This window comes from Homo sapiens, chromosome 14 (genome assembly GCF_000001405.40).
Source record: "Homo sapiens chromosome 14, GRCh38.p14 Primary Assembly".
NCBI lineage: Eukaryota > Metazoa > Chordata > Mammalia > Primates > Hominidae > Homo > Homo sapiens.
In genome coordinates, this window is record NC_000014.9 from 49,570,914 (window position 1) to 49,598,774 (window position 27,861).

At 43.1% G+C, this 27,861-nt stretch overlaps 1 protein-coding gene, 1 non-coding gene and 1 pseudogene across 4 annotated transcripts, besides 10 other annotated features; 1 reads left to right on the forward strand and 2 right to left on the reverse strand.

Moving 5' to 3' along the window:
- Positions 75–27,797, reverse strand: RPS29 (ribosomal protein S29). Of its 3 annotated transcripts, none has more exons than NM_001030001.4 (3): positions 15,372–15,467; positions 15,037–15,136; positions 75–6,940 (listed from the first exon to the last, which is right to left on the reverse strand). In NM_001030001.4, exons 1-3 carry the CDS (start codon positions 15,431–15,433, stop codon positions 6,899–6,901), a joined length of 204 nt encoding a protein of 67 aa, NP_001025172.1. In that variant the 5' UTR covers positions 15,434–15,467; the 3' UTR covers positions 75–6,898. The 3 variants fall into 3 exon arrangements, with proteins under 3 accessions (NP_001025172.1, NP_001338304.1, NP_001023.1); NM_001351375.2 differs by lacking the exons at positions 75–6,940; positions 15,372–15,467 and adding exons at positions 12,664–12,762; positions 27,487–27,797; NM_001032.5 differs by lacking the exon at positions 75–6,940 and adding an exon at positions 12,664–12,762.
- Positions 6,442–6,929, reverse strand: RPL32P29 (ribosomal protein L32 pseudogene 29; annotated as a pseudogene).
- Positions 10,661–10,780: an enhancer, noted in NCBI's record as "active region_8309". NCBI's record gives its function as "activates an Ori minimal core promoter by ATAC-STARR-seq in GM12878 lymphoblastoid cells {active_cell/tissue: GM12878}" and the evidence as "EXISTENCE:reporter gene assay evidence [ECO:0000049][PMID:35858748]".
- Positions 11,937–12,448: an enhancer, noted in NCBI's record as "H3K27ac hESC enhancer chr14:50049568-50050079 (GRCh37/hg19 assembly coordinates)". NCBI's record gives its function as "activates a minimal SCP1, AML or CMV promoter by ChIP-STARR-seq in primed H9 embryonic stem cells {active_cell/tissue: H9 hESC(primed)}" and the evidence as "EXISTENCE:reporter gene assay evidence [ECO:0000049][PMID:30033119]".
- Positions 12,449–12,959: an enhancer, noted in NCBI's record as "H3K27ac hESC enhancer chr14:50050080-50050590 (GRCh37/hg19 assembly coordinates)". NCBI's record gives its function as "activates a minimal SCP1, AML or CMV promoter by ChIP-STARR-seq in primed H9 embryonic stem cells {active_cell/tissue: H9 hESC(primed)}" and the evidence as "EXISTENCE:reporter gene assay evidence [ECO:0000049][PMID:30033119]".
- Positions 12,960–13,471: an enhancer, noted in NCBI's record as "H3K27ac hESC enhancer chr14:50050591-50051102 (GRCh37/hg19 assembly coordinates)". NCBI's record gives its function as "activates a minimal SCP1, AML or CMV promoter by ChIP-STARR-seq in naive H9 embryonic stem cells {active_cell/tissue: H9 hESC(naive)}" and the evidence as "EXISTENCE:reporter gene assay evidence [ECO:0000049][PMID:30033119]".
- Positions 14,498–14,547: an enhancer, noted in NCBI's record as "active region_8310". NCBI's record gives its function as "activates an Ori minimal core promoter by ATAC-STARR-seq in GM12878 lymphoblastoid cells {active_cell/tissue: GM12878}" and the evidence as "EXISTENCE:reporter gene assay evidence [ECO:0000049][PMID:35858748]".
- Positions 15,146–15,645: an enhancer, noted in NCBI's record as "active region_8311". NCBI's record gives its function as "activates an Ori minimal core promoter by ATAC-STARR-seq in GM12878 lymphoblastoid cells {active_cell/tissue: GM12878}" and the evidence as "EXISTENCE:reporter gene assay evidence [ECO:0000049][PMID:35858748]".
- Positions 15,146–16,027: a biological region, named in NCBI's record as "NANOG-H3K27ac-H3K4me1 hESC enhancer GRCh37_chr14:50053149-50053658".
- Positions 15,518–16,027: an enhancer, noted in NCBI's record as "NANOG-H3K27ac-H3K4me1 hESC enhancer chr14:50053149-50053658 (GRCh37/hg19 assembly coordinates)". NCBI's record gives its function as "activates a minimal SCP1, AML or CMV promoter by ChIP-STARR-seq in primed H9 embryonic stem cells {active_cell/tissue: H9 hESC(primed)}" and the evidence as "EXISTENCE:reporter gene assay evidence [ECO:0000049][PMID:30033119]".
- On the forward strand, positions 15,667–15,965 carry RN7SL1 (RNA component of signal recognition particle 7SL1). Its single transcript, NR_002715.1, has one exon.
- Positions 26,830–26,879: an enhancer, noted in NCBI's record as "active region_8312". NCBI's record gives its function as "activates an Ori minimal core promoter by ATAC-STARR-seq in GM12878 lymphoblastoid cells {active_cell/tissue: GM12878}" and the evidence as "EXISTENCE:reporter gene assay evidence [ECO:0000049][PMID:35858748]".
- Positions 27,599–27,668: an enhancer, noted in NCBI's record as "active region_8313". NCBI's record gives its function as "activates an Ori minimal core promoter by ATAC-STARR-seq in GM12878 lymphoblastoid cells {active_cell/tissue: GM12878}" and the evidence as "EXISTENCE:reporter gene assay evidence [ECO:0000049][PMID:35858748]".

Genomic DNA, 27,861 nt, shown 5'->3' on the forward strand with positions numbered 1-27,861 from the left:
AACACTACAACTTCAGGCAAAGAGACACCAGTTTACACAACAAAACAGAGACCATCACATAGAACAAAAGTGAATTGTGTTTGGATGAACTCAAAATGTTTATTTTGGGTACATGCACCAACTGAGTAGGAATAAAAGGAAACATCTTGAGAGACTTCATTCTGTGCAGATGAATGAGTACCATTTCCACGAGTTTAGCCTTTATTGTGCCCTAAAGAAGTTTTCCTGCACTGTAACTTTATTTTTAAGAGTAGTTTGAGTGCAAAACAGGAATAATCCCCAGAAAAGGTGAAAATTGGTCAAGAAAATGGTACAGAAAGAATACACTTTGCAAAGAATGATGCCCTCAGACCTCTCCTACCAACCAACACTCCACCATTGGCAAGTTCAATAGACTTGTGTTTGTTGTGTGACATAGCGTGCACAGTATGTTTTCACATGCTTTCTGTTTTATAGTAAAGAATTTGACTGGCTTTTGTCTCTGGTTCCTAGGAGGCAGACTCAAAATAATTAGAATTCCCTAAGTAACAGGGATATCTTTGTTTTTCATGAGCCTCTTGGATCACACCTGAATTTGGGCTGGAAGATGAGATGACCCAAGATGGAGGCCAGTTACCAGCGAGAACAACCATGTGATTACATAGCTGGTGCTTTGAGTCAGCCTGACACCCAGAGTAAGGGGTAGGGTGGAGATTTAGTTCAATCACTTGGCCAGTGATTCAATCAATTATACATATATAATGAAACCCCAATAAAAACTTTAGATACCGAAGCATGGTGAAGCATCCTGGTTGGTGAACATATCAATGTGTTGAGAGGGTGACACACCCGATTCCACAATGCAGGACATGAAAGCTTCGCATCCAGCGCCCTCCTAGACCTTACTTTATGTGTCTCTCCATTGGCTGGTCCTAACTTATATCCTTCATAATAAAACAATTGTAAATACAGCATCTTCCTGAGTAATGTGAGTCATTCTAGCAAATCGGCAAACCTGAAGGAAATCTTCAGAAACCCCTACGTTTTATTGTTTTATTTTATTTTTATTTTTTATTGAGACCCAGTCTCACTCTGTTGCCCAGGCTGAAGTGCAGTGGCACCATCTCAGCTCACTGCAACCTCTGCCTCCCAGGTTCAAGCGATTCTCGTGCCTCAGCCTCCCAAGTAGCTGGGATTACAGGTGACTGCCACCATGCCCGGCTAATTTTTGTATTTTTAGTAGATACGAGGTTCACGGTGTTGGCCAGGCTGCTCTCGAACTCCTAACCTCAGGTGATCCACCTGCCTTGGCCTCCCAATGTGCTCAGATTACAGGTGTGAGCCACGGCACCCAGCCAAACCCCTAGATTTGTAGCCAATTGACTGGGGACTCCCAAAGTGTGACTGGCATCAAAAGTGAGGACAACCTCGTTTGGGATCATGCCCTTTAACTTGTGGGGTCTTCTCTAACCCTAATTAGTGCAAGAATTGAATTTCAATATACCGGTTGAGGTCAGAATACTTTCAAATTATTGTACATTACTTTTATGAGCTTTTTTTCAAAGTTTAACTAGTATATTCTTCTTTTTGTGAAAATTACTCAAGTACCCTGTAGTGTCATAGAATAAATAATTTTTTCCGAAAACTTAATGGAATTTTTTCACTTAATAGCTTTTAACTCAGTGGTGGAGTTTTCTGGAACAAATTAAAGTCATTAACAAGGAACAAGTGTATTTAGAAAATCTATAATGAAGGACACAAATGAGAAGTGGTCATTGTCATCATGCTTTGCTCCCTTGGCAATAAAGAAGCTATAGTACTCAGAAATCAGATAATGAAGTCTCCTGACCATGTAGAAAACTTTAAAGAAAATTGTGTTTAAAGAGATTTCCCTGGCCTGGCATGGTGGCTCACGCCTGCAGTCCTAGCATTTTGGGAGGCCAAGGCAGGTGGATCTCTTGAGCCCAGGAATTTAAGGCCAACCTGGGCAACATGGCAAAAGTTTGTCTCACCAAAAATACAAAAATTAGCCATGCTGGTGATGCACGCCTGTGGTCCCAGATACTTGGGAGGCTGAGGTGGGAAGATTGCATTGAGCCCAGCAGGTTGAGGCTGCAGTAAGCCAAGATCACACGACTTCACTCCAGCCTGCATGACACAGTGAGACCCTGTCTCCAAAGAAAAAAAAGAAGAAAGAAAGAAAGAAAGAAGGAAAGAAAGAAAGAAAGAAAGAGAAAGAAAGAAAAAGCAAGAGAAAGAGATTACCAAAAGAAAATACAAAAAATAAAAAAATAGGCTGGGCGTGGTGGCTCATGCCTGTAATCCCAGCACGTTGGGAGACCAAAGCAGACAGATCCTTGAGGTCAGGAGTTTGAGACCAGACTGGCCAACATGACAAAACCCCATCTCCACTAAAAATATAAAAATTAGCTGGATGTAATGGTGCGCACCTGTAATCCCAGCTACTCCAGAGGCTAAGTTAAGGCAGGAGAATCTCTTGAACCCAGGAGACAGAGGCTGCAGTGAGCCAAGATGGCACCACTGCACTCCAGCCTGGACAACAGAGTTAGAATCAAAAAAAAAAAAAAAAAAAAGAGAAAGGTGACTTCTCCCCAAGAGTCCTGACAACACCAACAATTAAACCACACTGGGCAGAGGACTATTCAGAATTTCAGAAGCTATATTTGACAGAACTGGCCTAAGACAAAATTACACAATGGTAAAATTTGTCTCCTATATCCTTTTTACATTAGGTCAACACCCCTTGGATTTCTCAAGCATGTCAGCACTGTTGGAGTGGACCATCTTTATCTTTTGGCCTCAGTTCCAAATATGCATTAGTTTTTATAAACCCTATCTTTTTGTGGTTGTCTGAATATGTCATCTGTGCTAGAGGCTCACACTTAGTCTTCATGAATGTTAATAAGAGTTAATTACCATCAAAGGAAGAATAGATGCACAAGTGTCATCATGAAATGGGACGTGTGGGTGTGTGAAAAGAAAATCCAGGGTGAACCAGACTCAGTCTATGAAATTCAACTAAACAGATTGCCAAGAGGCAAGTTTCATTTCTTTTTATTTTAGTCTCTTGTTGATTTGTCTGTGCTGCCAGGAATGTTTATCACTCCATCAACTCGTCCTTTAATATGCGATCTTGTTATTATTTAGGAAATGAAACAAAAACCTCCTTTGGCATTAAAATAATGAGATATTACTCTTTATGGGCAACTGTTAGGGGTTTTAGTAACCCACATATCTTTGGTTCCCTGGGTAAAGGCTTATTGATTTTTCTAGCACTTGCTGTTAATGCTTGATGTTTGGCAATGGAGTCTCAGTCTACACGAGGGAGCTGTTTACACGGTCAGCATAATTATTATTGGGTTGTAGAATGTACATGAAGCTACTGGTACTTACACTCTTACAACATTATTATTAAACTAAACCATTTTTTTTATTTCATCGCTGTTACAGTTAAGGTCATAAGCACACCTATGGTGATCCCATTCGAACCTAAACTATATACAGTAAGAAGTTACAAAGTCAGCTCCCGAATATGGACCTGTCCTAAAATGTGTTCAGAGAGATCAGTGGGATCCTGCATTACTGGTGGCAGAACCACTGTAAGATACAAGCAGGAAAAAGGCGTGATTTTTCTCTTAACACCAGTCTCTTTCTCTCCCTACGTCTCCAGATACTTCACTCTCCTGCCTTTTTTCCAGACCTTAGTAACTCTAGCCATAGTCTCTATCAATGGAAATGCACTCCCTTTCCTATTTGTCAGTGATGTTATGTAAGTATTTCAAGGTTATCTGAATTAATCAAGGTTTTACAATAAACCTTTAGTGGCAGCCTGCTGGGTCTGGTGAGCTGACTCAGAGCAAAGCACTGGTAAGGAGGGGTCACCCACGAAGAAATTGGAAGGCCTGAGCAAAGAACAGAAATCGAGGAAGATGATCAGATGGTATATGTCCAAAGTGAAGGCAAGGTTGGTCATTTAGGCTTAGAGCACAGCTTCCTGAAATGTGTCCTTTGGACTCTTAGAACAGGGTCCATTTGAGGTCCACACCAGCCACTTCTAGAGCCAGAGACTTTGAGTCCTTGCCCCAGGATCAGTGGTTCTCAAACTATACAGGCAGTCAGGGATCTCTTTCTTTATCTTTTTTTTTGAGACGGAGTCTCGCTCTGTCGCCCAGGCTGGAGTGCAGCGGCCTGATCTCCGCTCACTGCAAGCTCCGCCTCCCGGGTTCACGCCATTCTCCTGCCTCAGCCTCCTGAGTAGCTGAGATTACAGGCACTCGCCACCATGCCTGGCTAATTTTTTTGTATTTTTAGTAAAGATGGGGTTTCACTGCATTGGCCAGGCTGGTCTTTAACTCCTGACCTCAGGTGATCCACCCGCCTCAGCCTCCCAAACTGCTAGGATTACAGGCGTAAGCCACTGTGCCTGGCATCAGGGATCTCTTTCTAAGGGGCCTAATAGGAGAAATGAAGTGGGTGAGTGACAGAAGGAAGGGGAAGGCATTATGGTTCTACAGGCCTTCAATATTTCTGTCCCACAAACAAATAATGGGAATCCACCATTTATTTATAACAGTCAGAAGGTCCAGTCTGGAATCTGCTCAAAGAATTTTCACCAAAGGAAGCCAGTTCTGGCTTCTCTAAATTATTTTCTGGCTGAACACAGTGGCTCACCCCTGTGATCCCAACACTTTGGGAGACTAGGAAGGGAGGATTGCATGAGCCCAGGAGTTCCAGACCAGCCTGAGCAACATGGTGAGACTTCCATCTCTACGAAAAATTTTATAAAAATTAGCTGGGCATTGTGGTGCACACTTATGGTCCTAGCTACTTGGAGTCTGAGGTAGGAGGATTACTTGAGCCCAGGAGGTTGAGGTTGCAATAAGCCATGTTTGTGCCACTGAATGCCAGTCTGGGTGATAGAGCAAGGCCATGTCCAAAAAAATTAAAATAAATTCTAATTTAGCAAATTACTTTATGTTCAAGACATTAAATGATAATTACCTCATCTAGATTAAGCTTGTGACTTTCTGCCTCTATTCTTTTAAAATTCTAAAAGATAGAAGATACCTGGAACTAGCACACATAATCTAGGCTAATTTTTGGACCCTGTATAGCCTTGATTCCTACACACACATATACTCAGTCTATCTACAAACTGAGCCTTTTATGTTCTACATTAACCTTCCTGAGAAACAGCTAATAGTGCAGCCTTTTTTTTTTTTTTAAGTGATACAAACATGACTCATTGAAACCTGGACCTCTTGGGCTCAAGTTATCCTCTCATCTCAGCCTCCTGAGAAACTGGGACTACAGACATGCACCACCACGCCTGGCTAATTGTTTTTGGGTTTTTTTGTTTGTTTAATTTTGGTAGATAGGGGATCTCCTGATGTTGCCCAGGCTGGTCTGGAACTCCTGGCATCAAACCATCCTCCTGCCTCAGCCTCCCAAAAGGCTAGGATTACAGGCATGAGCCACTTTGCCTGGCCTCTTTTTTTCAATTTTTGTCAATATTGAGGAAATTAAAACACTTTATTATACCCTTCTTAATCATACCACTAGAAGTGTTTTTTCTCTGCCTACCTAAAAACCCAAATCCCTAATACACCAATTACCATTAAAGATAGTTTTTAAGAACGATGTCCTAGCAGAGGTTATGCAAGCAGGCTGCTTTAAAACTGTTGAAGGCCAGGCACAGTGGCTCATGCCTTGATTATGGTTTGTGGGCTGTGTCCCCACCCAAATCTCATCTTGAATTGTACTCGCATAATCCCCACATGTTGTGAGAGGGACCCGGTGGGAGATAACTGAATCATGGGAGCGGTTTCCCCCATACTTTCTCATGGTAGTGAGTAAGTATCACGAGAACTGATGGTTTTATAAGGGATATCTGCTTTCATGTCTTCCTCATTTCCTGCTTGCCGCTGCCATCTAAGAAGTGCCTTTTGCCTTCTACCATAATTGTGAGGCATCCCCAGCCACATGGAACTGTGAGTCCAATAAACCTATTTTTCTTCCCAGTCTTAGGTATGTCTTTATCAGCAGTGTGAAAATGAACTAATACAAGCCTGTGATCCCAGCACTTTGGGAAGCTGAGGTGGGAGGATCCCTTGAGGTCAGGAGTTCGAAACCAGCCTGGCCAAGAGGATGAAACCCCATCTCTACAAAAATACAAAAATTAGTCAGGTGTGGTAGTGGGCACCTGTAATCCCAGCCACTTGGGAGGCTGAGACAGAAGAATCACTTGAACCTGGGAGGTGGAAGTTGCAGAGAGCTGAGCTTGCATCACTGCACTCCAGTCAGAGGAAGACTTCATCTCAAAAACAATACATAAATAAAATTTTAAAAAATAAAACTGTTGGGGGCATTAGCCACACGAACAACTGTCCAAAAGCCAGGGTCTCTGGTTTTTGTTGTTTTTGTTTTTACAGTTTTATTGGTTTTATTTAAACCCCAATAAAACAAACACATTCACTGTCTATTCACTTTCTGCACTGTGCAGGCTGGCATTGGCATTGGTGACTCTGATGACCACCTGGGCTGCTCTTTCCAAGATGGCTTTGCAGTTCTTGGAAGAAACATCATGAGTGATCTCAACACAGTAAGATTTGTTGCTCACCAGCAGTACTTCCAGCTCCTTAACGTTGTGGACCAGGAACTTCCAGAAGCCACTGGGCAGTATGTGCTTTGTCTTTTTGTTTCTCCCATAACCAATGTTGGGCATAGATCTGGCCCTCAAACCTTCTATGAACCCTGTTGTTAATACCTCTGTGTTTCCACCAGTTACCCTTAATTTTGACATATCAGTCTGACTGGTTCCCAGTGAACTTGGTGCTCTTTTTGATGATCTTGGGCTTCGCGAGCGGTCTCAGGATGGCCATGATGGAGGAGATGGGTGTCACCTCCATAGGCAGTGCCAAGGAAGACAGCTCAGGTCTTTCTGTAATGGTAAAAGAGGACCCATAAAAAGTGAAAAAGCAATGATGCCCAACCAAATTCAATAAATTTGTACTGCATGCCTGCCCTGTGAAACATGTTATGTCACTATCAGGATCTAGATTGAGTGGAATTAATTCAGAGAACACCAAAGATCACTCTAAATCATGTTTTAGAGAAACAGTTGAAATAATCAGAGATGGTTATACTGGAAATAAGAAGATTCTAGGAAAACATGAGAGCCTTCATGCCTAAATATTTAGCCCTTTTTTTTTTCAGAGATTAGACTTGTTTTGTACAGGACAACACAGAATTAATATCAATGAGTAGCAGTCAAAATCAGTAGAATGAAATCATAGCAACCTAAGAAAAAACTTACCATCAAAGCAATCTAAAAATAGAATGAGCTGTTTTAGGAGGAGCAGAAGCCTCACTAGCAATATTGGTACCAGGGACATTATACACTGCAGTATCTGGATACTCAATCTCTAAATGAGTCTTAATCAGATACTGCTACAAATCAAATCATAAATCACATCACCCAAAGTCAAATGCTGCTAACATAATGACATGTTTCCTTCTGATTTTTTTCCCTGTGTACTTGTTTTTTAACATAATAAAATTGTAGCACATATACAATTTTTCACTTTTTATAAAAAAAATTTCTTTCGGCAATTTTGTAGACTACCAATATTTACCAAAGCTTTCACTTTTTTTTTTTTTTTTTTTGAGACAGGGTCTCACTCTGTCTCCCAGGCTGGAATGCAGTGGCATGATCTCGATTCACTGCAACCTCGCTTTCCCCGGTTCAAGCGATTCTTGTGCCTCAGCCCCCCAAGTAGCTGGGATTACAGGCGCACACCACCATGCTCAACTAATTTTTGTATTTTTAACAGAGACAGGGTTTCACCATGTTGACCAGGCTGGTCTCAAACTCCTGGCCTTGTGATCCACCTGCCTCAGCCTCCTAAAGTGCTGGGATTACAGGCATGAGCCACCCCGCCCAGCCAGCTTTCACTTTTTGTTGAACATTTACAGTTTAGTGGTAAGAGCAGTTTTCAAGACATACTACCTGGTTGAATCTCTCTTACTAGCTATACAATCTTGGGAAAGTTACTTATTCATTGTGCCTCAGTCACCTCATTTGTAAAATGGGGACGGTACCTCAGGGAATTGTTGTATTAAAGGAGATTCTACAGCCAAAATGTTTATGTCCCCCATAAAATCCACATGATGAAACCCTAGCCTGTGGGTTGTAGGAGGTGGGGCATTTTGGAAAGAGATTAGGTCATGAGAGGTCAACCCTCATGGGAGTAGTTCCCTTATAAAATAAGCCCAAGAAAGCTCATTTGCCCTATCCACCATGTAAGGACACAATGAGAAGGCACCATTTATGAGTCAGGAAACAGCTCTCACCAGACATGAAATCTACCAGCACCTTGATCTCAGACTTCCTAGCCTCCAGAACTGTGAGAAATAAATGTCTGTTATTTAAGCCACTCAGTCTACTGGATTTTGTTACAGTGGCCCAAAGACACTAAGACAGAATCCAAACCTAAGAATATATCCTCTGCCAGAGTGGTGGCTCACACATGTAGTCCTAGCATTTTGGGAGACCAAGGCAAGAGGATCACTTGAGGCCAGGAGTATAAGACCAACCTGGGCAACACTGCAAGACCCTGTCTCTACAATAAATTTTGAAAAACAAAGAATAGATCCTCTATGTTCCAATGGTTGTTTGGGCCTCTCCTATAGCACCTACCATCTTTTGCCATCAACACTTATTGAGCTTTTACTAAGTAATTTAGTTCAATTCCCCAACAAATGAGGACCTATTAATCTACAAGGCATCTTGCTATGTGCTTGGTATGCATGTAAATATGAAAGGAAACACTTACTCCTGCCCTCAAGTAACTAAGTGATCTTTGGGAATAAGAGATGCATAGTCCTCTAACCATACAATAAGTGTGTTGTGAATATTAAGAGCATAGGCACTGATTTCAGACAGACCCAGTTCCAGTCGTTTTGTCTCTTTCTTTGGGAGACCTTGGGGAAATTACTTAATCTCTAAGCCTCAGTTTCCTTGGCTATGTAATGATGATAATACCTGCTGAAAAGTACTCTAAGACTGGAAAAAGGCAATGTGCATAAAGCACTTAGACCACCTATCCACAGCAGCCTTCCCACTCACTACCACCATGTATACACAGGGATAGGACTGTCTAGGGAGTGTTTCCCTTCCATTACCTAAGGCACTGCACGTCTCTTACAGAATTTATACCAGGCCATCACACTGGACCAGAGCCCAGCCCATCCAAGAGACTCTCATGACCAAATCAAACACATATCACACCCTTTTTGACCTAACTCACCACTACATATGTAAGCTTCTCTCATCATCTCCCAAACTTTTTTACATTTGCTTAGCTGACACAGCTTCTCATCCACTCTATCTGCAATACCAGCTCATCCCATTACCAATAAATCTTTTCTACATCCTCAACCTCATCTCCCAATATTCTTCCCACCTCCTTACCCAGACTGAAACCTGGCTCTTTCCTAGACACTTCCCCAACACCAACTTTATCATCACATACACCTGGGGTTCAGGGTTAGGAGCACAGGTGGATTTACTATGAAGCTTATGAAACTTAAACTCCAGTATCCCTAACTTCTACAAGCTCCTTCTAAGGCAAGTATACTAGGAATGTGTTCAATCACATGTTTTCAAAAAATTGGCGGCCAGGAGCGATGGCTCATGCCTGTAATCCTAGCACTTTGGGAGGCTGAGGTGGGTGGATCACCTGAGGTCAGGAGTTCAAAAGCAGCCTGGCCAACATGGTGAAACCCTGCCTCTACTAAAAATACAAAAAATCAGCCAGGCGTGGTGGCAGACCTGTACAGGCACACCTGTAATCCCAGCTACCTGGCAGGCTGAGGCAGGAGAATCGCCTGAACCCGGGAGGCAGAGGTTGCAGTGAGCTGAAATCATGCCACTGCACTCCAGCCTGGGTGACATAGCAAGACTCCGTCTCAAAAGAAAAAAAAAAAAAATGCTGGGTGCGGTGGCTCACGCCTGTAATCCCAGCACTTTGGGAGGCCAAGGTAGGCAGATCACCTGAGGTCTGGAGTTCGAGAACAGCCATTGGCCGGCATGGAGAAACCCCATCTCTACTAAAAATACAAAATGAGCCGGGCATGGTGGCGCATGCCTGTAATCCCAGCTACTCAGGAGGCTGAGGCAGGAGAATTGCTTGAACCTGGGAGGCGGAGGTTGCAGTGAGCCAAGATCAAGCCACTGCAGCACTCCAGCCTGGGCAACATGAGCAAAACTCTATCTCAAAAAAAAAAGAAAAAAAAATTGGCAAAGATAATTTAGCTGCAACCAGTTAAGATGCTCTTTCCATTCCAGCTTCCCTTCTGTCACACTTCCCCTCCTCTCAGATAAAACTGGGGTTACCAATTCTGTCTTAATCAAAGGCACACAATACAGTTGATCACTCACGTCACTGCTTAAAACAGATTCTACTTGGATGTCTAAGACAAGTCTCAAAGTCAACATGTCCAAATTGAACTTTCTATTCTTCCCAAACCTGGAAAGGCCTATCTCAACAGCAATTCTATCCTTCCAGTTGCTCAGGCCAAAATCCTTGGAGTCATTCTTAGACTGGGTCTCATTCTGTTGCCCAGAGTGCAGTGGCACAAGCCTCCCAAGTAGCTAGGCGTGCACAACCACACCCGGCTAATTTTCTCTTTTAAATTTTTGCTATTCTCCCGCCTAGGCCTCCCCAAGTGCTGGGAATACAGGAGTGAGCCACTACGCCCAGCCCCTAAGAGTCATTATCTACTCCTATCTCCTGTATCGGTTCCTTCAACAAACCTTGTCTCCCACAGTAAGGCTGGCTGTAGTGGTGCTCACCTGTAATCCCAACACTTTGAGAGACCAAGGCGGGCTGATCACTTGAACCCAGGAGTTCAAGACCAGCCTGGACAACAAACCCCGTCTCTACTAAAAACACAAAATATTATCCTGGCATGGTGGTGTACACCATGTCCCAGCTACTCAGAAGGCTGAAGTGGAAGGATAGCTTGAGCCCAAGAGGTTGAGGCTGCAGTGCGCCACTGCACTCCAGCTTGGGTGATAGAGCAAGACCCTGCCCCCCAAAAAAAAAAAAAAAAAAAAAACTTAGTGACTATCTCAACCACTCCCATCTATCCTAATGCAAGCAAATATCACTTGCCTAGACTATTGCAATAGCTTTATTTCTACCTCTGCCTCAGTGAAATGAACTTAAGTTCATTGCTGGGCACAGTAGTGCACACCTGTTGTCCCAGGTACTTGGGAGGCTGCAGGAGAATCAGTTGATCCCAAGAGTTCAGACTAACCTGGACAGCATAGTAATACCCCACCTCTACAAAAGTAAGTTTCCAAATGGATTCTCATCTCACAATATCTAACTATAACCTACAGGGCTACTACAGACCCTGGCCAGCTTTCTCACTCTTCAGCCACAACTTTGCTATTTCTCTGATTCCATCCAGGAATTCTCTTCCCCACAGAATCTATGCTGTAACCTCTATTAAGTTCATAAGCCAAATTTAAGTATGGCTTTCTTCTCTGACCTCAACATCTAGCACATATACCTCTTTTAACCTGCTTTTTTTCAAATAATGCACATTATTATGTATTGCTGCTCTATCAGCATATAAATTCAATTGAGAAGTTTTCATTCACTACAGAATTCTGCATCTGGCATACAGAACTCAAGTATTTGTACAATTGTTATCCACAAGTGGTAGAACAGTACTTTCCAAACTTGGATTGCGTAGGGGCTCTTGTTCAAATGTACACCAATTCAGGAGGCACAGGGTATACCCTAACAACACATTTCTAATAGGCTTCCAGATGACAACGTGTCAAATCCCAAGAATTTTCACCTACCTTCATTTATTCCATCTCACGTCAGCCACCTGCATTACCAATGTTAAAGCAACCACACACTATACCTACACTTCACCTTTTACTGAGTCCAACTTGTACAACCCCTCCAAGTGCTCCCAACTGCTTTTCCCCACAAATACGCACATGCACACATTGACAGATGACAGACCCTGTATCTATTCAAAAGTGTGTGAACATATATGTATATAAATTCCTTAAAACATTTTTTTCTTTAAAGAGACAAGGTCTCAGTATGTTGCCCAGGGTGGTCTCCTGGGCTCAAGCAATCCTTCCACTCTGACCTCCCAAAGTGCTGGGATTACAGGCCTGAACCTGCCAGGTTTTGTAAAGTATAAAAATAAAATTGGCATTTACCAGTTTACTGGCTGGTATGATTTTATGTTAACTCAGAGAAAATAAGCCATTGATACAAGTTTATTGAGAAGGTAATAAAATGTAAGTTTTTAAAGGATTTCTTGCCGGGTGCGGTGGCTCATGCCTGTAATCCCAGAGCTTTGGGGGCCCAAGGCGAGCAGATCACGAAGTCAAGAGATCGAGACCATCCTGGTCAACATGGTGAAACCCCCATCTCTACTAAAAAGAGAAGAATTAGCTAGGTTTGGAGGCTGAGGCAGGAGGCTTGAACCTAGGTTGCAGTGAGCCGAGATCGCGCCACTGCACTCCAGCCTGGCGACAGAGGGGGACTCAGTCTCAAAAAAAAAAAGAAAAAGATTTCTATAAACAATTAGCTATTCCAGTCACATTAGAACACTCATAAACTGAAGGGTTTTTTCAAATGTTTATTTTATATACAAAGAATTATCATGGTTTTTCATTGAGTAGATGCCCCGGATAATCCTCTGAAGGAAGAGCATTTAGTCCAACTGAAAAAAAAAAAGCAGATGATTTATTTCAAAATGCTTTAAATCTCTACTTGATTCTCACAAAAAAAAGGCTCATTATAGAATGTTATAGAATTACAGAACTGGACCTTTGACCTATCCAAACCACACCAGATTCTATGTAGTTTAAATATTTACTGAATGCCTACTCCAGAATCAACCATGTTTTAGAACGATTTTTAGTAACGCTATCGCACTTCTTCCATCAAAGTAATGTTTCCCAAAACACTAGTAAATGATCTTTACCAAATGCACAGGATAGTTGTTCAGTAGGCAACTATAATTACACAGTTCATCATTTTTTTTTTGAGAGAGAGTCTCGCTGTCTCCCGGACTGGAGTGCAATGGAGCCATCTCCACTCACTGCAACCTCAGCCTCCTGGGTTCAAGCGATTCTCCCACCTCAACCTCCTGAGTAGCTGAGACCACAGGCGCGGATCATCATACAAGGCTAATTTTTGTAGAAACAGGTTTTCGCCATGTTGGCAAGGCTTGTTGCGGAAACCCTGGGCTCAAGAAATCTGCCCATCTTGTCGGCCTCCCAAAGTGCTGGGATTTCAGGTGTGAGGCACCTCGCCTGGCCCAGTTCATCTAGGACACAGAGCTAGGGCGTGGGCCAAGGTCCATTTTCTTACGTATGATATACTACCTCTCAAATTAGGCGAACCTCCTCATTTTAACAAGAAGCATATACTGATGAAGTATTTGCTCAGGGCTGCCAAGCCTGAGTTTAAACGTACTTTCTCTGTCCCTGCTGCACTGCAGTATTCATATTAACAATTTACAACAGACAGGGCGCCGTGGATCACGCCTGTAATCCCAGCACTCTGAGGGGTCAAGGCAGGCCCATCTCCTGAGGTCAGGACCTCAAGACCAGCTTGGCCAACATGGTGAAATCCCATCTCCACAAAATAATAAAAATAGGCCGGGCGTGGTGGCAGACGCCTGTAATCCCAGGTACTAGGGAGGCTGAGACAGGAGAATCGCTTGAATCCGGGAGGGGGAGGCTAGTGAGCTGAGATCACGCCACTGCACTCCAGCCTGGGAAACAGAGGGAGACCCAATTTCAAAACAAAAAAAAAAATTTACATCATTATAGAACAGTACTATCCAATACAAAATAATTGATCAGAAAGCTGGTGATTTTTATCTCAAAGAGCCAATAATAAATTCGTTTTCACCTTAAAAAAAAAAACCCAAACTACTATTTAAAAGATTTTCAGAAGCCAAAAGTTTCACAGTCAAAAGTTTCATATAAACACTAGCTTGACTAAGATGATCAAGAGATAGAAGCACTAAATGGCAGACCATTGTTTGCTGAATCTTAACAATGTCTTTCCGGCCCCAAACTTTAAGTTCATTCCAGTGTATGACGCTTTCAAACATTTTGGGTTGGCCGGGCGCGGTGGCTCACGCCTGTAATCTCAGCACTTTGGGAGGCCGAAGCAGGCGGATCACGAGGTCAGCAGTTCGAGACCAGCCTGACCAACATGGTAAAACCCCGTCTCTACTAAAAATAAAAAAATTAGCCGGACATGGTGGCAGGCGCCTGTAATCCCAGCTATTCAGGAGGCTGAGGCAGGAGAATCGCTTGAACCGGGGAGGCGGAGGTTGCACTGAGCGGAGATCACGCCATCGCACTCCAGGTTGGGTGAGTGCGACTCCGACTCAAAAAAAAAAAAAAAAAAACTTGGGGTCAGCGGTTAATACATATATTTGGTTAGAAAATATCTAGGTACAGCCGCGCGTGGTGGCAAGAGCCTTTAGTCCCAGCTACTCGGGACGCCAAGGCAAGAGGATCGCCTGAGACCAGGAGGAGTTCGAGGCTGCAGTGAGCCGTAACAACGCCACTGCACTTCAACCTGGGCGACAGAGGGAGACCCTATCTCTAAAAAAAAAAAAAAGAGAATAGGTACTTACAAGATTGATAAATGAAACAAATGTAAAACAATTTTAGTGGCTTCTCTAAAGTGAATTTCACCAAACACAATACACGGCACCTAAAACTGGCTAAGCTATCTAGGTAAAAAAGGGAGTAGGAAAGACTAAGTCCTTCACCTTCTCCATTCTATTAATTTGATTGCCCAAACCATCAACACTGTCACCAGCTACCAACTAAAAAAAGAGGAAAAGCTCTTGGTCGAATGCTCAGAATTACCACTCCAGGGAAGATCTGTCCGTTTGTCTTTCGCGGAAAAAATAACCCCCACAACCTTCTCTGCCCAAACAACATGGAGTACGCCTGCAGACGCCTACCTTAATGAAACCGATATCCTTCGCGTACTGACGGAAACACTGGCGGCACATATTGAGGCCATATTTCCGGATCAGACCGTGCCGGTTTGAACAGACACGACTGTAAGAAAAGAGACAGCGGTTTTGCAGGTCATAGAAATTACAAGACTCCGCACTCAGACGGCTACTACCCGCATCCCGGGACTCCCAAGCCACAGTACAGGCCTGTAATGGCGGCACCAGCGACTCCCAGTCGGCGTGCTCCCTCGTGCCGCCCGTGGCCTCCTCTACTTGAGATTTTAAGCAGCCTAGCGCTCCACGGCAACGCTTCCCCAAAATCACAAACTATTTCTCACCAAGAGCGAGAACCCTGGCCGAATTTTCGCGGGTGGCTCCAGTACAGCTGCTGGTGACCCATCTTGCTCTCAGCAGTGCAACGAGGTAAAAGGAAGAAGCTGGCCCACGCATGCGCTCTTCAAATTTTTGAGACAGTTTACCCAGAATGCAGTGCTCAAAGGAAACGCGTGCGCAGTGTGGTCAGGTTGTTTCGCTGGGTGAGTAAAATGAAATCTTAGAGGCGTTGTGGGCTGGCCCAGTTGATGACGTCACCATACCACAGCTTCTAGTGCTATTCTGCGCCGGTATCCGACCGCCGGGCGCGGTGGCGCGTGCCTGTAGTCCCAGCTACTCGGGAGGCTGAGGCTGGAGGATCGCTTGAGTCCAGGAGTTCTGGGCTGTAGTGCGCTATGCCGATCGGGTGTCCGCACTAAGTTCGGCATCAATATGGTGACCTCCCGGGAGCGGGGGACCACCAGGTTGCCTAAGGAGGGGTGAACCGGCCCAGGTCGGAAACGGAGCAGGTCAAAACTCCCGTGCTGATCAGTAGTGGGATCGCGCCTGTGAATAGCCACTGCACTCCAGCCTGGGCAACATAGCGAGACCCCGTCTCTTTTGAACAATAAATACGTTAATTTTGGACTCTCAAGAGATGAATATTCTCATAGTCTTTTTTATTGATTAAACCTTTTACTTTCTTTTAATTAAAACGTTACACTTGGGAAAGGAGTTTTTCCTCGACTCACCAGTGACACCTACTGGAATAAATTTACAAAACAACTTAAAATCAGCTGTAATGATCACGAGTCAACGGTAGGGTTTGCTTTTATTTTGTTAAAGAGAGTACGTTTTCAAATTTATTTTTTTGACACACTCCTCCAAGAAATACACCTACACCATTCCAAAAAAAAATGAGATTCTTTGGCATTTAGTGTATTTGATTCTTAAATGTAATTGGCTGAATGTAAAGTAATAAACAAGTAATGTGCAGTGTATGTTGCTTTGACCAGATAATTTGGTGACAAAACAAGTAATGAAAAGCAAATGCAAAAATGCAAAAAACCAATGTCAATAAACGAATTTCTGCTGAAAGATACCTACATTCCATATGGTCATTTATAATGCCTCCAGATAAAACTGCTCTGAAATCAAAGCTTTAACTAGATTTATAAAATGTAGCACAGGGTGCAACAATTCCAGAAACTTTTACATATAAACTTTTATAAATTGAAATACAACACTTCTTTAAGGTATGTTATGTCAGGGTTCTAGTGGGGTCCCCCTACCCAATCATTAAGTTAGGCATTGTATTATATGATTAAGGAAGGAGGGGAGTCAGAGATTTGTAAACTAGATATAACTTGCTCCTTGCCCTCAAAATTTTCTAATCTGTGGGAAACAGGATTATCTCCAAGACTTCAACATACAACGTTTGTGCACCAACAACATATGTACAGCTAAGGAAAATATTCTGTATTAAATCATGGGTGTGCTCATGAAGTACGAAAGGAGCCAAGAAGAGAAATTAATTCCAGTTCGAGGTACATTTGAGAGACCTTTGAGGTAGACCTTGAAGAATGGGATTTCTACAGGCAGCACTTGACAGAAGGGAATGCCTGGTGAAAGGAAGCGCTTGAGCCAAGGTAAGGTGAACAACTTTGTGTAACTAGAATAGAAGATGGACAAAAGGCCTAGTGATAGGAATGAAAAGGTATTTTATTTTAAAGCCTCATTGGGCAAGATCCAATGTCAAGCTTTTACAACTTTCCTATAATTTATATCAGTCACTAATGTGTGGTTTCCAAAAGCCATTTGCCTCTCAAAAGCTAATCTAACATTTGTCCACACTTTCTTAGGCCTCTTCTAGTTGGTCTCCACAATATTTAAAACATTACAGTGGTTCTGAGATCAATTCCATTAATATTTTTAGTACTCTGATATATAAGCCTTTGGGCCTAAAGAAGTGAATTCATTTAGGAGAGAAAAAAAGACAAATGAGAAGCAATTAGTTGCACTTCAACAATCTTAATCTGAATACTTAAGTAATTCTTAATACTTATTCTAGTCTATACATTATTCTCTTTGATAGAGATATTGCAAAAGTGCAGCTAAGACGTCGTACTTCCTTTCAGTTTTAAGATAATGTGACACCATCTATCCCAAACCATGAAATTATCCATTTCTTTTTCAACAAACTGAGAACACAGCTTTAAAAGTTCATTTTAACTCGGTGTTTATCAAGAGCTTTTATGTTTTGTTTTGTTTTTTTTCCTTTTTTTTTGAGACGGAGTCTCACTCTGTCGCCCAGGCTGGAGTGCAATGGCACCATCTTGGCTAACTGCAACCTGCACCTCCTGGGTTCAAGGGATTCTCCTGCCTCAGCCTCCCGAGTTGCTGAAATTACAGGCACGTGCCACCACACCCGTCTAATTTTTTACATTTTTGGTAGAGATGGGGTTTCACCATGTTGGCTAGGCTGGTCTCGAAGTCCTGACCTCGAGTAATCCACCCACCTCAGCCTCCCAAACTGCTGGGATTACAGGAGTGAGCCACCACGCCCGGCCTAAGAGCTTTTATCTTAATCCTGTAGTCTTCTTACAGTTTCTGAGTCCTTTTTTTTTTTTTTTTTTTTTTTTTTGAGACGGAGTCTGGAGTCTCGCTCTGTGACCCAGGCTGGAGTGTAGTGGTGCGATCTCGGCCCACTGCAAGCTCCGCCTCCCGGGTTCACGCCATTCTCCTGCCTCAGCCTCCCGAGTAGCTGGGACTACAGCGCCCGCCACCATGCCCGGCTAATTTCTTTTTGTATTTTTAGTAGAGACAGGGTTTCACCCTGTTAGCCAGGATGGTCTCGATCTCCTGACCTCATGATCCGCCCGCCTCGACCTCCCAAAGTGCTGGGATTACAGGCGTGAGCCATCTTAGTTCTCTTTTATACATGGGTTTGAAATGCTTCTTCTTTTAGAACACATTTTCCTTTAATAGGATATTTATTGGGTTTGGGTTCTTTGTTTTTTAAAAAATGTACAATGAAGTGCAAAGAAAAAGAAAAAAAAAAGTGCCATAATGTCCTTGCCCAGATAACCCTACTAATATTTTTCTTTTGAAAAACTAAAAGTAATATACATGTAAGATCGAAGCATTCTAACACTGCAAAGTATAGATCTTATTTTTAAGTACATTGGAATAATATGCATGTTAGGACACTATTATTCAAGATGTCTTTAATTTTCTTTCTCAAATTATTCTTACAGTCTTCTGTGATCATCCATCCAGAATTTAATCATTTAAAAACCTTCATCTTAGACGTATACACTGCTGATGGGAATGTAAATTACTTCAGCACTGTGGAAAGCAGTTTGGTGATTTCTTAAAGAATTTAAAACAGAACTGTCATTTGACCAGCAATCCCATTACTGGATATATACCCAAAAGAATATAAATCATTCTACAGTAAAGGCAAATGCATATGTATGTTCATCGCAGCACTATTCACAATAGCAAACACACTGAATCAACCTAAATAGCAATTTTTTAAGCAACAGTAGACTGGATAAAGAAAATGTAGTACATATACACTATGGAATGCTACACAGCCACAGAAAAGAACAAGATCATGTCCTGTGCAACAGCATGGATGGAGCTGGAGGCCATTATCCTAAACAAACTAACACAGGAACAGAAAACCAAACACCACGTTCTCACTTATAAGTGAGAGCTAAACATTGAATACACATGGACCCAAAGAAAGTAATAGACAGCAGGGCCTACTTGAGGGTAGAGGGTGGGAGGAGGGTGAGGATTCGAAAAGTACCTATTAGGTACTAAGCTTATTACCTGGGTGATGAAATAATAACCCCTGTGACACACAATTTATCTATAGAACCAACCTGTACATGTTTCCTTGAAACTAAAAGTTTTTTTAAAAACACCTGGCCAGGCATGGTGGCTCACGCCTGTAATCCCAGCACTTTGGGAGGCTGAGGCAGGCAGATCACAAGGTCAGGAGTTCTAGACCAACCTGGCCAATATGGTGAAACCCGGTCTCCACTAAAAATACAAAAATTAGCCAGGCATGGTGGCGGGCGCCTGTAGTCCCAGCTACTCTGGAGGCTGAGGCAGGAGAATCGCTTAAACCCAGGAGGCAGAGCTTGCAGTGAGCCGAGATTGCGCCACTGCACTCTGGCCTGGGCAACAGAGTGAGATTCCGTCTCAAAAAAAAACAAAAAACAAAAAAACCTGCATCGCTCTTGAGTTACTTTCAATTTTGGAACCTTTGGGAATAGAATCATACTTTTCCTCTAAACTTTACAAAACCTATTTTACCATAGACAGAGTCTAAAATACATGTTTCGCATGTTTGGTTATTACAATATGCACACTTCAGTATCATGCCCCGGTTTTTTCCAGTTGGTTAGAATTAGGTCTTTTTTTTTTTTTTCTTTTTGAGACGGAGTCTCACTCTGTCACCCAGGCTGGAGTGCAGTAGGGCCATCTCGGCTCACTGCAACCTCCACCTCCCAGGCTTAAGCGATTCTCCTGCCTCAGTCTCCTGGGTAGCTGAGATCACAGGCGTGTGCCACCACTCCCAGCTAATTTTTGTGTTTTTAGTAAAGACGGGGTTTTGCCATGTTGGCCAGGCTGGTCTCGAACTTCTGGCCTCTAGTGATCTTCCCCCTCAGCCTCCCAAAGTGCTGGGATTACAGGCATCAGCCACCACGCCCAACCAGAATTAGGTCTTTATTAATAATTATTAACCCTTCAAAAAAGCCCAGTTGTTCAATAGTGTTATGTGTTTGTCCATATCGATTTTAGCAAATATTAATATTTTAATTAACTGTACATATTATATTTTAAAGTAAAACATACATACTTCAGGAAAGGGGACTCAGAAAAAGGAAAAAAATACATACATACATGCATACATTAAATATATTATCAAAAGTAAGTCTTTCTCCAACCCTAGACCCCTATTTTCCCAGTCTCCCTGTCCAAACCAACAAGTTAGCAGTTTTTAGAGGTTTTCTGTTTGTTTGTTTGTTTGTTTGTTTGTTTGTTTTCACAGAGTCTCACTCTGTTGCCCAGGCTGGAGGGCAATGGTGCAGTGCAATCTCAATCTCAGCTCAGGGCAACCTCCACCTCCCGGCTCAAGCGATTCTCCTGCCTCAGCCTCCCAAGTAGCTGGGATTACAGGCGCATGTCACCACACCCAGCTAATTTTTGTATTTTTAGTAGACACGGAGTTTCACCATGTTGGCCAGGCTGGTCTTGAACTCCTGACCTCAGGTAATCCACCCGCCTCAGCCTCCCAAAGTGCTGGGATTACAGGGATGAGCCACCATGCCTGGCCCAATTTGATTTTTTTTTTTTTTTTTTTGAGATGGAGTCTTGCTCTGTCAGCCAGGATGGAGTGCAGTGGCGTGATCTCGGCTCACTGCAACCTCTGCTTCCCGGGTTCAAACGATTCACCTACCTCAGCCTCCCGAGTAGCTGGGATTACAGGCGCCCACCACCATGGCTGGCTAATTTTTTGTGTTTTTAGTAGAGACAGGGTTTCACCGTGTTAGCCAGGATGGTCTCGATATCCTGACCTCATGATCCGCCTGCCTCGGCCTCCCAAAGTGCTGGGATTGCAGGCATGAGCCACCACGCCCGGCCCCAATTTGATTTTTTAAAGTCCACTTAGCAAGATTCAATTTGATTTTCTGATGAGACAGAGCGTATTTTCCTATGTTTATAAGCCAGACATATATCTTTATCTGGGAACTTTTTTGAGTCCACAGCCCAATTTTTTTAATCCATTGGTAAGCTAGTTTATATATTTATAAATACTTATGTATAAGGAAATACACCTTTGACCTTCATATAAGATGCAAAGTTATTTTCTTTGCCACCATCCCAGATTCTTACTTATTTTTTAAATTTGTTTATGGTATATTTTTCCATGCAAAAAGTTTTTTTTTTTATTTTTTATTTTTGGCTAGTCAAGTGAAGCAGTGGGAGTAGAGAAGGAACAAATAAATCTGTAACTGGTTGTAATTAATTAGTTGTAAACTCCACTGCACTCGGACCAGCACCATGCAAAAAGTTTTAAAGTCTATGTTTTTTTTTTTTTTTTTTTTTGAGACGGAGTTTCACTCTTGTTGCCCAGGCTGAAGTGCAGTGGCGTGATCTTGCCTCACCTCAACCTCTGTCTCCCGGGTTCAAGCGATTCTCCTGCCTCAGCCTCCCGAGTAGCTGGGATTACAGGCATGCGCCACCACCCCCAGCTAATTTTGTATTTTTAGTAGAGACGGGGTTTCTCCATGTTGGTCAGGCTGGTCTTGAACCCCCGCCGGCCAAAAGTCTATGTATTAAAATTAACTTGCCGGGCGCAGTGGCTCACACCTGTAATCCCAGCACTTTGGGAGGCCGAGACGCGTGGGTCACCTGAGGTCAGGAGTTCGAGACCAGCCTGACCAACATGGAGAAACCACGTGTCTACGAAAAACACAAAATTAGCCCGGCGTGGTGGTGCATGCCTGTAATCCCAGCTACTCAGGAGGCTGAGACAGGAGAATCGTTTGAACCCAGAAGGCGGAGGTTGCAGTGAGCCGAGATTGCGCCACTGCACTCCAGCCTGGGCAGCAAGAGCGAAACCGCATCTCAAAAAAAAAAAAATTAAAATTAACTTGTCACACTACTGCCTTTAGGTTTTGCATCAAAATTCTTTAAAGGTTACATGTGTTTTCCTGTGATATTTTTAAAGTTTTTATTTAAATCTTGAAACCACCTAAAATTTATGTCACTGTTCCCCAGGAATGAAGGAGAAATTCAGCTTTTTTCTCCTCCCAAATGGCTACTTATCCCAACACAAGCCGTATTAATTGCATGTAAGGCTGCTGTATTCTAGCACAATGCATGCTTTCAGAAATATTTGCTAAATGAATAAATGAAAAGCAGTATTTGTTTATTCTTTCTACAAATATGCATTGAGTACCGACTGCATATAACCACTATGCTAGGCTTTGCATATAACAGTAATGACTCAGAAGCCAGGAAGCATATCATCTAGCGGTGAAGATAAGCATTAAATAAGTAATCATATAGCAATATTTTGAACAGGATAAAATTCCTCTTACAGTCAACACTCAAATGTGCTGGATAAAATATGACATTTTGGCCGGGCGCAGTGGCTCATGCCTGTAATCCCAGCACTTTGGGAGGCCAAGGTAGGTGGATCACCTGAGGTTAGGAGTTTGAGACCAGCCTGACTAACATGGTGAAACTCCGTCTCTACTAAAAATGCAAAAGTTAGCCAGGTGTAGTGTAATCCCAGCTACTCAGGAGGCTGAGGCAGGAGAATCGCTTGAACCTGGGAAGTGGAAGTTGCAATGAGCCGAGATCACGGCATCGCACTCCAGCCTGGGCGACAGAGCAAGACTCTGTCTCAAAAAAAAAAAAAAAAAAAAAAAAGACGTTTTAAAATGCAGAGGTGAGCTCACAAGAAAGGGGTATACTGGGGGCAGGTGCTAAGTGGGAACTGAAAAAACAGAGGCTGTCCTGGGGCAATCTGTCCTCCTAAGTAATATTACATATAACCTGGATTCCAAAGGGAGCAAGAGACAAGCCTTTGGGCAACTGTATTTAATCAAATTGTGATGAGTAGAAATCCATGAAGGTTTTTGGGAGAAATTAAATACAGCATCTGAGACTTGAGTTCTAGTCCTGTTTATTCTAACATTGACTGTCTATGAGGTCATGGTCAAATAGTGTACCTTTACTCTTAATTCCATTCCCTCTTGTGCAAAATGAGAGAATTGAAGTAAAATATCTATAAACGACATTTCAGCTCTAAAACTTGAGGATTCTATGATAGGATATCCCTCTACAAATTTAATTTGGCTGCAGTATGGATGGTGGATTATTACAACAGCCTCCTAACTGATACATCTGCTTTCAGGCTTGCTCTACCTCCAAAATCATCTTTTTACTGACCACAAGAACCTTTCCTGATCAGGTCTGAATTTTATCCCGCTTAAAATTTTTCAAAGGTTTTCCAGAACTTTCAGAGCCTGGGGGACAGGGTGTGAACCTGTCTCAAAAAAAAAAAAAATCCTAAGTGTTAAATGAATGAATAAATGTATTGAAGCAAGAAGACCTGGTAAATTTAGCAACAGCTCTGTAGCAAAGTAATGCAGCTCTGAATTGATACGGCAGTGCTAAGAATGGAAAGGTGGTCATTCATTAGTAAATAATCGTGGAAACACAATCTATAAGACATTCAAAGAGTGTCACTGATGAAAGGCAGAACTTAGAGGAGTGAAAGTTGCAGATACCAGGATGAAATCACTTTTGTCAGAACCAAACAAAATAGGGCCAGAAAGGCAAAAAGGAAAGGGCTCATGTTTGTATGTCTGAGATAAGAACTGTTTCTGAAGACTTTCTAAAAACTCCACAAGAGATCACTTCACATCCTTCACACATGTCCTCCTTTGCACAGTTGGCAGGTTTCAGACATATACATATATTTCTATGACAAGGCTTATCATTCTTTAGGACTGCAGTAATTTAGATAAGAAGCTCTCAAAAGAACACTTGCCCAGTAACAGCATCTCCACCAATGAACTGATGACAGCTCTGGCTCTGAGCCTCTGGAACCAATGAACTCTGTTCATTGAACAGAACTCTTGCTTCTGTTTCCAAGCAGCTTTATTTGAACTTGCCCTTTTTGCCAATAAAAGCTTCCTTTTACCCTTCCCTCACTGGACGTACTTTTGGCTTGCCATTTCGTGCATCCTGAATTCTAATATTCTCTTCCCATTTCTGAATAAATTCAACATATTTGGAGATATTTTTCTCCAGTCTTTTTTTTCCCTTTTTTGAGACTGAAAGAGGTCTGATGCTTAGGTGCATATTTTTTAACTATTTAGCTGTATTGAGTCTTAGATGATGTTTACCACTAAAAAAAAAACTAACTCCAACATCTGGATCAAATGTGCTAGGGCAAGCAAGTCTACACTGTCCATAGATTGTGACCTCGTTCTTTAAGAATCTGATGTGGGTGGGGCATGGTGGCTCATACCTGTAATCCGAGCACTTTGGGAGGCTGAGGCAGGAGGACAGCTTGAGGTCAGGAGTTCAAGACCAGACTAGGCAACATAGCAAGAACCCCCATCTCTAGCAAAAAGTAAAAAAACAAACAAAAAAACCACACACATCTGGCCATGGTGGCACGCACCTGTAGTCTCAGCTACTCGGGAGGCTGGGGTAGGAGGATGGCTTGAGCCCAGGAGTTTGAGGTTGCAGTGAGCTATGAATGTTGCCACTGCACTCCAGCCTGGGTGAAACCCTGTCTCCAAAACTAAGCTAAACTAAAAAAAAAAAAATTCTGATGTGACTGTGATTTTACTAGCTCAAACATAATGAGCTACAAAGTGAGCAAAGTTCACTATGACTACAAATGAAAAGTTGAAAGAAATCCATTGTCGGCAGGGCGCGGTGGCTCACGCCTGTAATCCCAGCACTTTGGGAGGCTGGGGCGGGTGGATCACCAGAGGTCAGGAGTTCGAGACCAGCCTGACCAATATGGTGAAACCCCGTCTGTACTAAAAATACAAAAATTACCTGGGCATGGTGACAGGCACCTGTAATCCCAGCTACTCAGGAGGCTGAGGCAGGAGAATCGCTTGAGCCGGGGAGGCTGAGGTTGCAGTGAGGCGAGATCGTGCCACTGCACTCCAGCCTGGGCAACAGAGCGGAAGGAAGGAAGAAATGAAGGAGGGAGGGAGGGAGGGAGGGAGGGAACCATTATCTGTTGAATGCCTAGTATGTGCCAGAAAGCCAGGGAAATAAATGAAAAGTGCAATTGGAGCTTGCAAAAAGGAAGGTCAAGATGCTAAAGAAGGTTTAGCGGAAACTGAACTGGGATTTGATCATATTAATTAATATGAACAAAAAGAGAGAAAAGAATGTAGTTTGTAGGCCAGGTAGAAGAAGAACTAATTTTATAGAAGAAAAACAAATCTAAATGTTATATCTTTTATTTCTCTTGTCAAAAACTTGTAGTCCAATTATTTTTAACTCCTTATGTATTTCCATTTTCAGTCTGTCTACAAGGAAAACTGACTCGAGGTAATTAAGGATAGAGATCAAGGGGCAGATTTTATTTGTATGGTGGTAAAGTTCAAAGGGCTCTTTGCTCCACAATCGATCCACTAAGACCAAAAACTTTAGGTGTACTCTAGAGTGTCACATCCAAGTATTTAAACCATTAAATTTGGGTGGACAAAGGGGAGGATGTGGAAAGGGAAATGAGATACCAAAAACTGATAGATGTTTAAAAAAGAGGTAGTTTGGAAACTACCTTTTTTAAGACTGACAATTAGGAAGATACATTTTTGGCAGTATATACCACTGTTTCACTCTAAAATCACCGTTGAACTGTTATGTAACTTTCATCTATTTATTTAATTACTGAATCCATGCTTCAACAACCCAAGCCTAAGTAACACCAAATAAAGGACTGAGATTGAGGCTTTTTTTTTTTTTTTTTGAGACAAGGTCTCGCTCTGTCGCCCAGGCTGGAGGGCAGTTCTTCGCTCACTACCTCTGCCTCCTAGGCTCAAGCTGGGACTACAGACGCGCGCCGCCCCGCCCAACTAATTTTTTCTTCTTCTTTTTTTTTTTTTTTTTTGAGAGTCTCGCTCTGTCGCCCAGGCTGGAGTGCAGTGGCACTATCTCGGCTCACTGCAACCTCCGTCTCCCAGGTTCAAGCGATTCTCCTGCCTCAGCTTCCCGGGTAGCTGGGACTACAGGTGCGCGCCAACACTCTGTCTAATTTTTGTATTTTTAGTAGAGACGGGGTTTCACCATGCTGGCCAGGCTGGTCTCCAACTCCCGACCTCAGGCGATTCTCCCGCCTCGGCCTCCCAAAGTGCTGGGATTACAGTCGTGAGCCACCGCGCCCGGCCTAGTTAATTTTTTAATTTAATTTTTTTGTGGAGACGAGGTCTCACTATTGCCCAGGCTAATCTCGAACTTCTGGGCTAAGCGATCCTCCTGCCTCGAGCCTCCCAAATTGTTGGGCTTACAGGCGTGAGCCACCGCACCTGGCGGAACATTTCTACTCTAATGAAAATTATAACAGTTTTTACAGTTTTCCTAGCTCCCAACTGTACCTATAAGTTCAGAGTCCATTTAATGTACTTGTAATAATTCAGGCTGGTGTTTTATTATCTTTTCTACATTATTACCCTCTCAAAGAACAAAAGCAGGTAACTCCTATAAAGTCTAATAGTCTGAAAATTGTAGTGTCCGTTTTCTCTTTAGCCATAAAGTTTTGCTTAAATGCTGAGTCGCGTTTTAATGCTCTACTAGATGTACATATAAGAATACTAAATGGAGGGAAAGTAATTTCTTTTTTTTTTTTGAGACGGGGTCACTCAGGCTGGAGTGCCAGTGCGCGATTACAGCTCACCGGAGCCTCTCGACCTCCCCAGGCTCAAGTGATCCTGCCACCTCAGCCTCCCCAATAGCTGGGACTACAGACACGCGCCACCACGCCCGGCTAATTTTTTTGTATTTTTCTTAGAGACTGGGTTTTGCCATGTTGCCCAAACTGGTCTTGAACTCCTGGGCTCAAGCGACCTGCCTGCCTCAGCCCCGCAAAGTGCTGGGATTACAGGCGTGAGCCACCGCGCCCGGCCATAATTTTATCTTAATCACTTTTTTCCAGGAACTATTACGTTTCAAAGAATGAGGAATTAACTGACAACACTTCAGGTTCAACATGTAAATAGGGACGCTCATTTGAGAATAAATCACATTTTGTCACAGTTGTATTGAAAAATCGGTATTTCTGAACGTCATTTTACCATTACGGAAGTATAACTCAGACACAATAAAATGTTTAATATACGGCTAGGATTAGGTTAAGGTGAGAGAGGCGCCTAGAGCACAAATTTTAAGGAGGCAAGACCACGACCCCGACCGTGAGCGCCTGCTTAACATTTGCTCCCCAGGCGCTTCCCACTCCCCAGCCGGGCCCCGTCCTAGTTCAATCAATCAAGAAAATCAAGAGTACGAAGGCCTTGTGCGGTCTGGACGGTCTTTCCACGTCTCAGGTGCAGTTAAGCCAGTCACACTCCATCCACCTACCCGCCATGAAAAATTATTTGTTCAGCAGGAATTGCCAAGTCAAATACAGCCATATAAAGCCCCCCTTCGACGTGCCAGGTGTGCCTCCGGAGAGCAGCCACCAAAACCACCAGCAGCCCGTCCGCGCCGGGAAATGCGCCCTCGCTGGCTTACGGGGCCACTCAGACAGTTCTAAGTGCCTTTCCCTGTAACGCAGAGGCACACCTGCCTTCCCTCGGGAAACAGCGGCCCGACGTGCGCCCGCAACGCGTAAAGCGTCAACAGCTGAAACCCTCGGAATCCTCCCCGAACAGAAACAACCACCGCTGCCAGCTGCGCGCTCGGGGGAAAAGACGTTGCGCCCCCGCCGACTGCCGGTTTCCCGGGCGCGAGCCC

Excerpts from the sequence above, each read along its gene's own strand:
- RPS29 (NM_001030001.4), bottom strand. The coding sequence starts at position 15,433 with ATGGGTCACCAGCAGCTGTACTGGAGCCACCCGCGAAAATTCGGCCAG. Across the intron at positions 15,137-15,371 it reads GGCCAGGGTTCTCGCTCTTG|TCGTGTCTGTTCAAACCGGC; the intron begins GTGAGAAATAGT and ends CTTTTCTTACAG. Across the intron at positions 6,941-15,036 it reads AGGATATCGGTTTCATTAAG|AAAGACCTGAGCTGTCTTCC; the intron begins GTAGGCGTCTGC and ends TTACCATTACAG.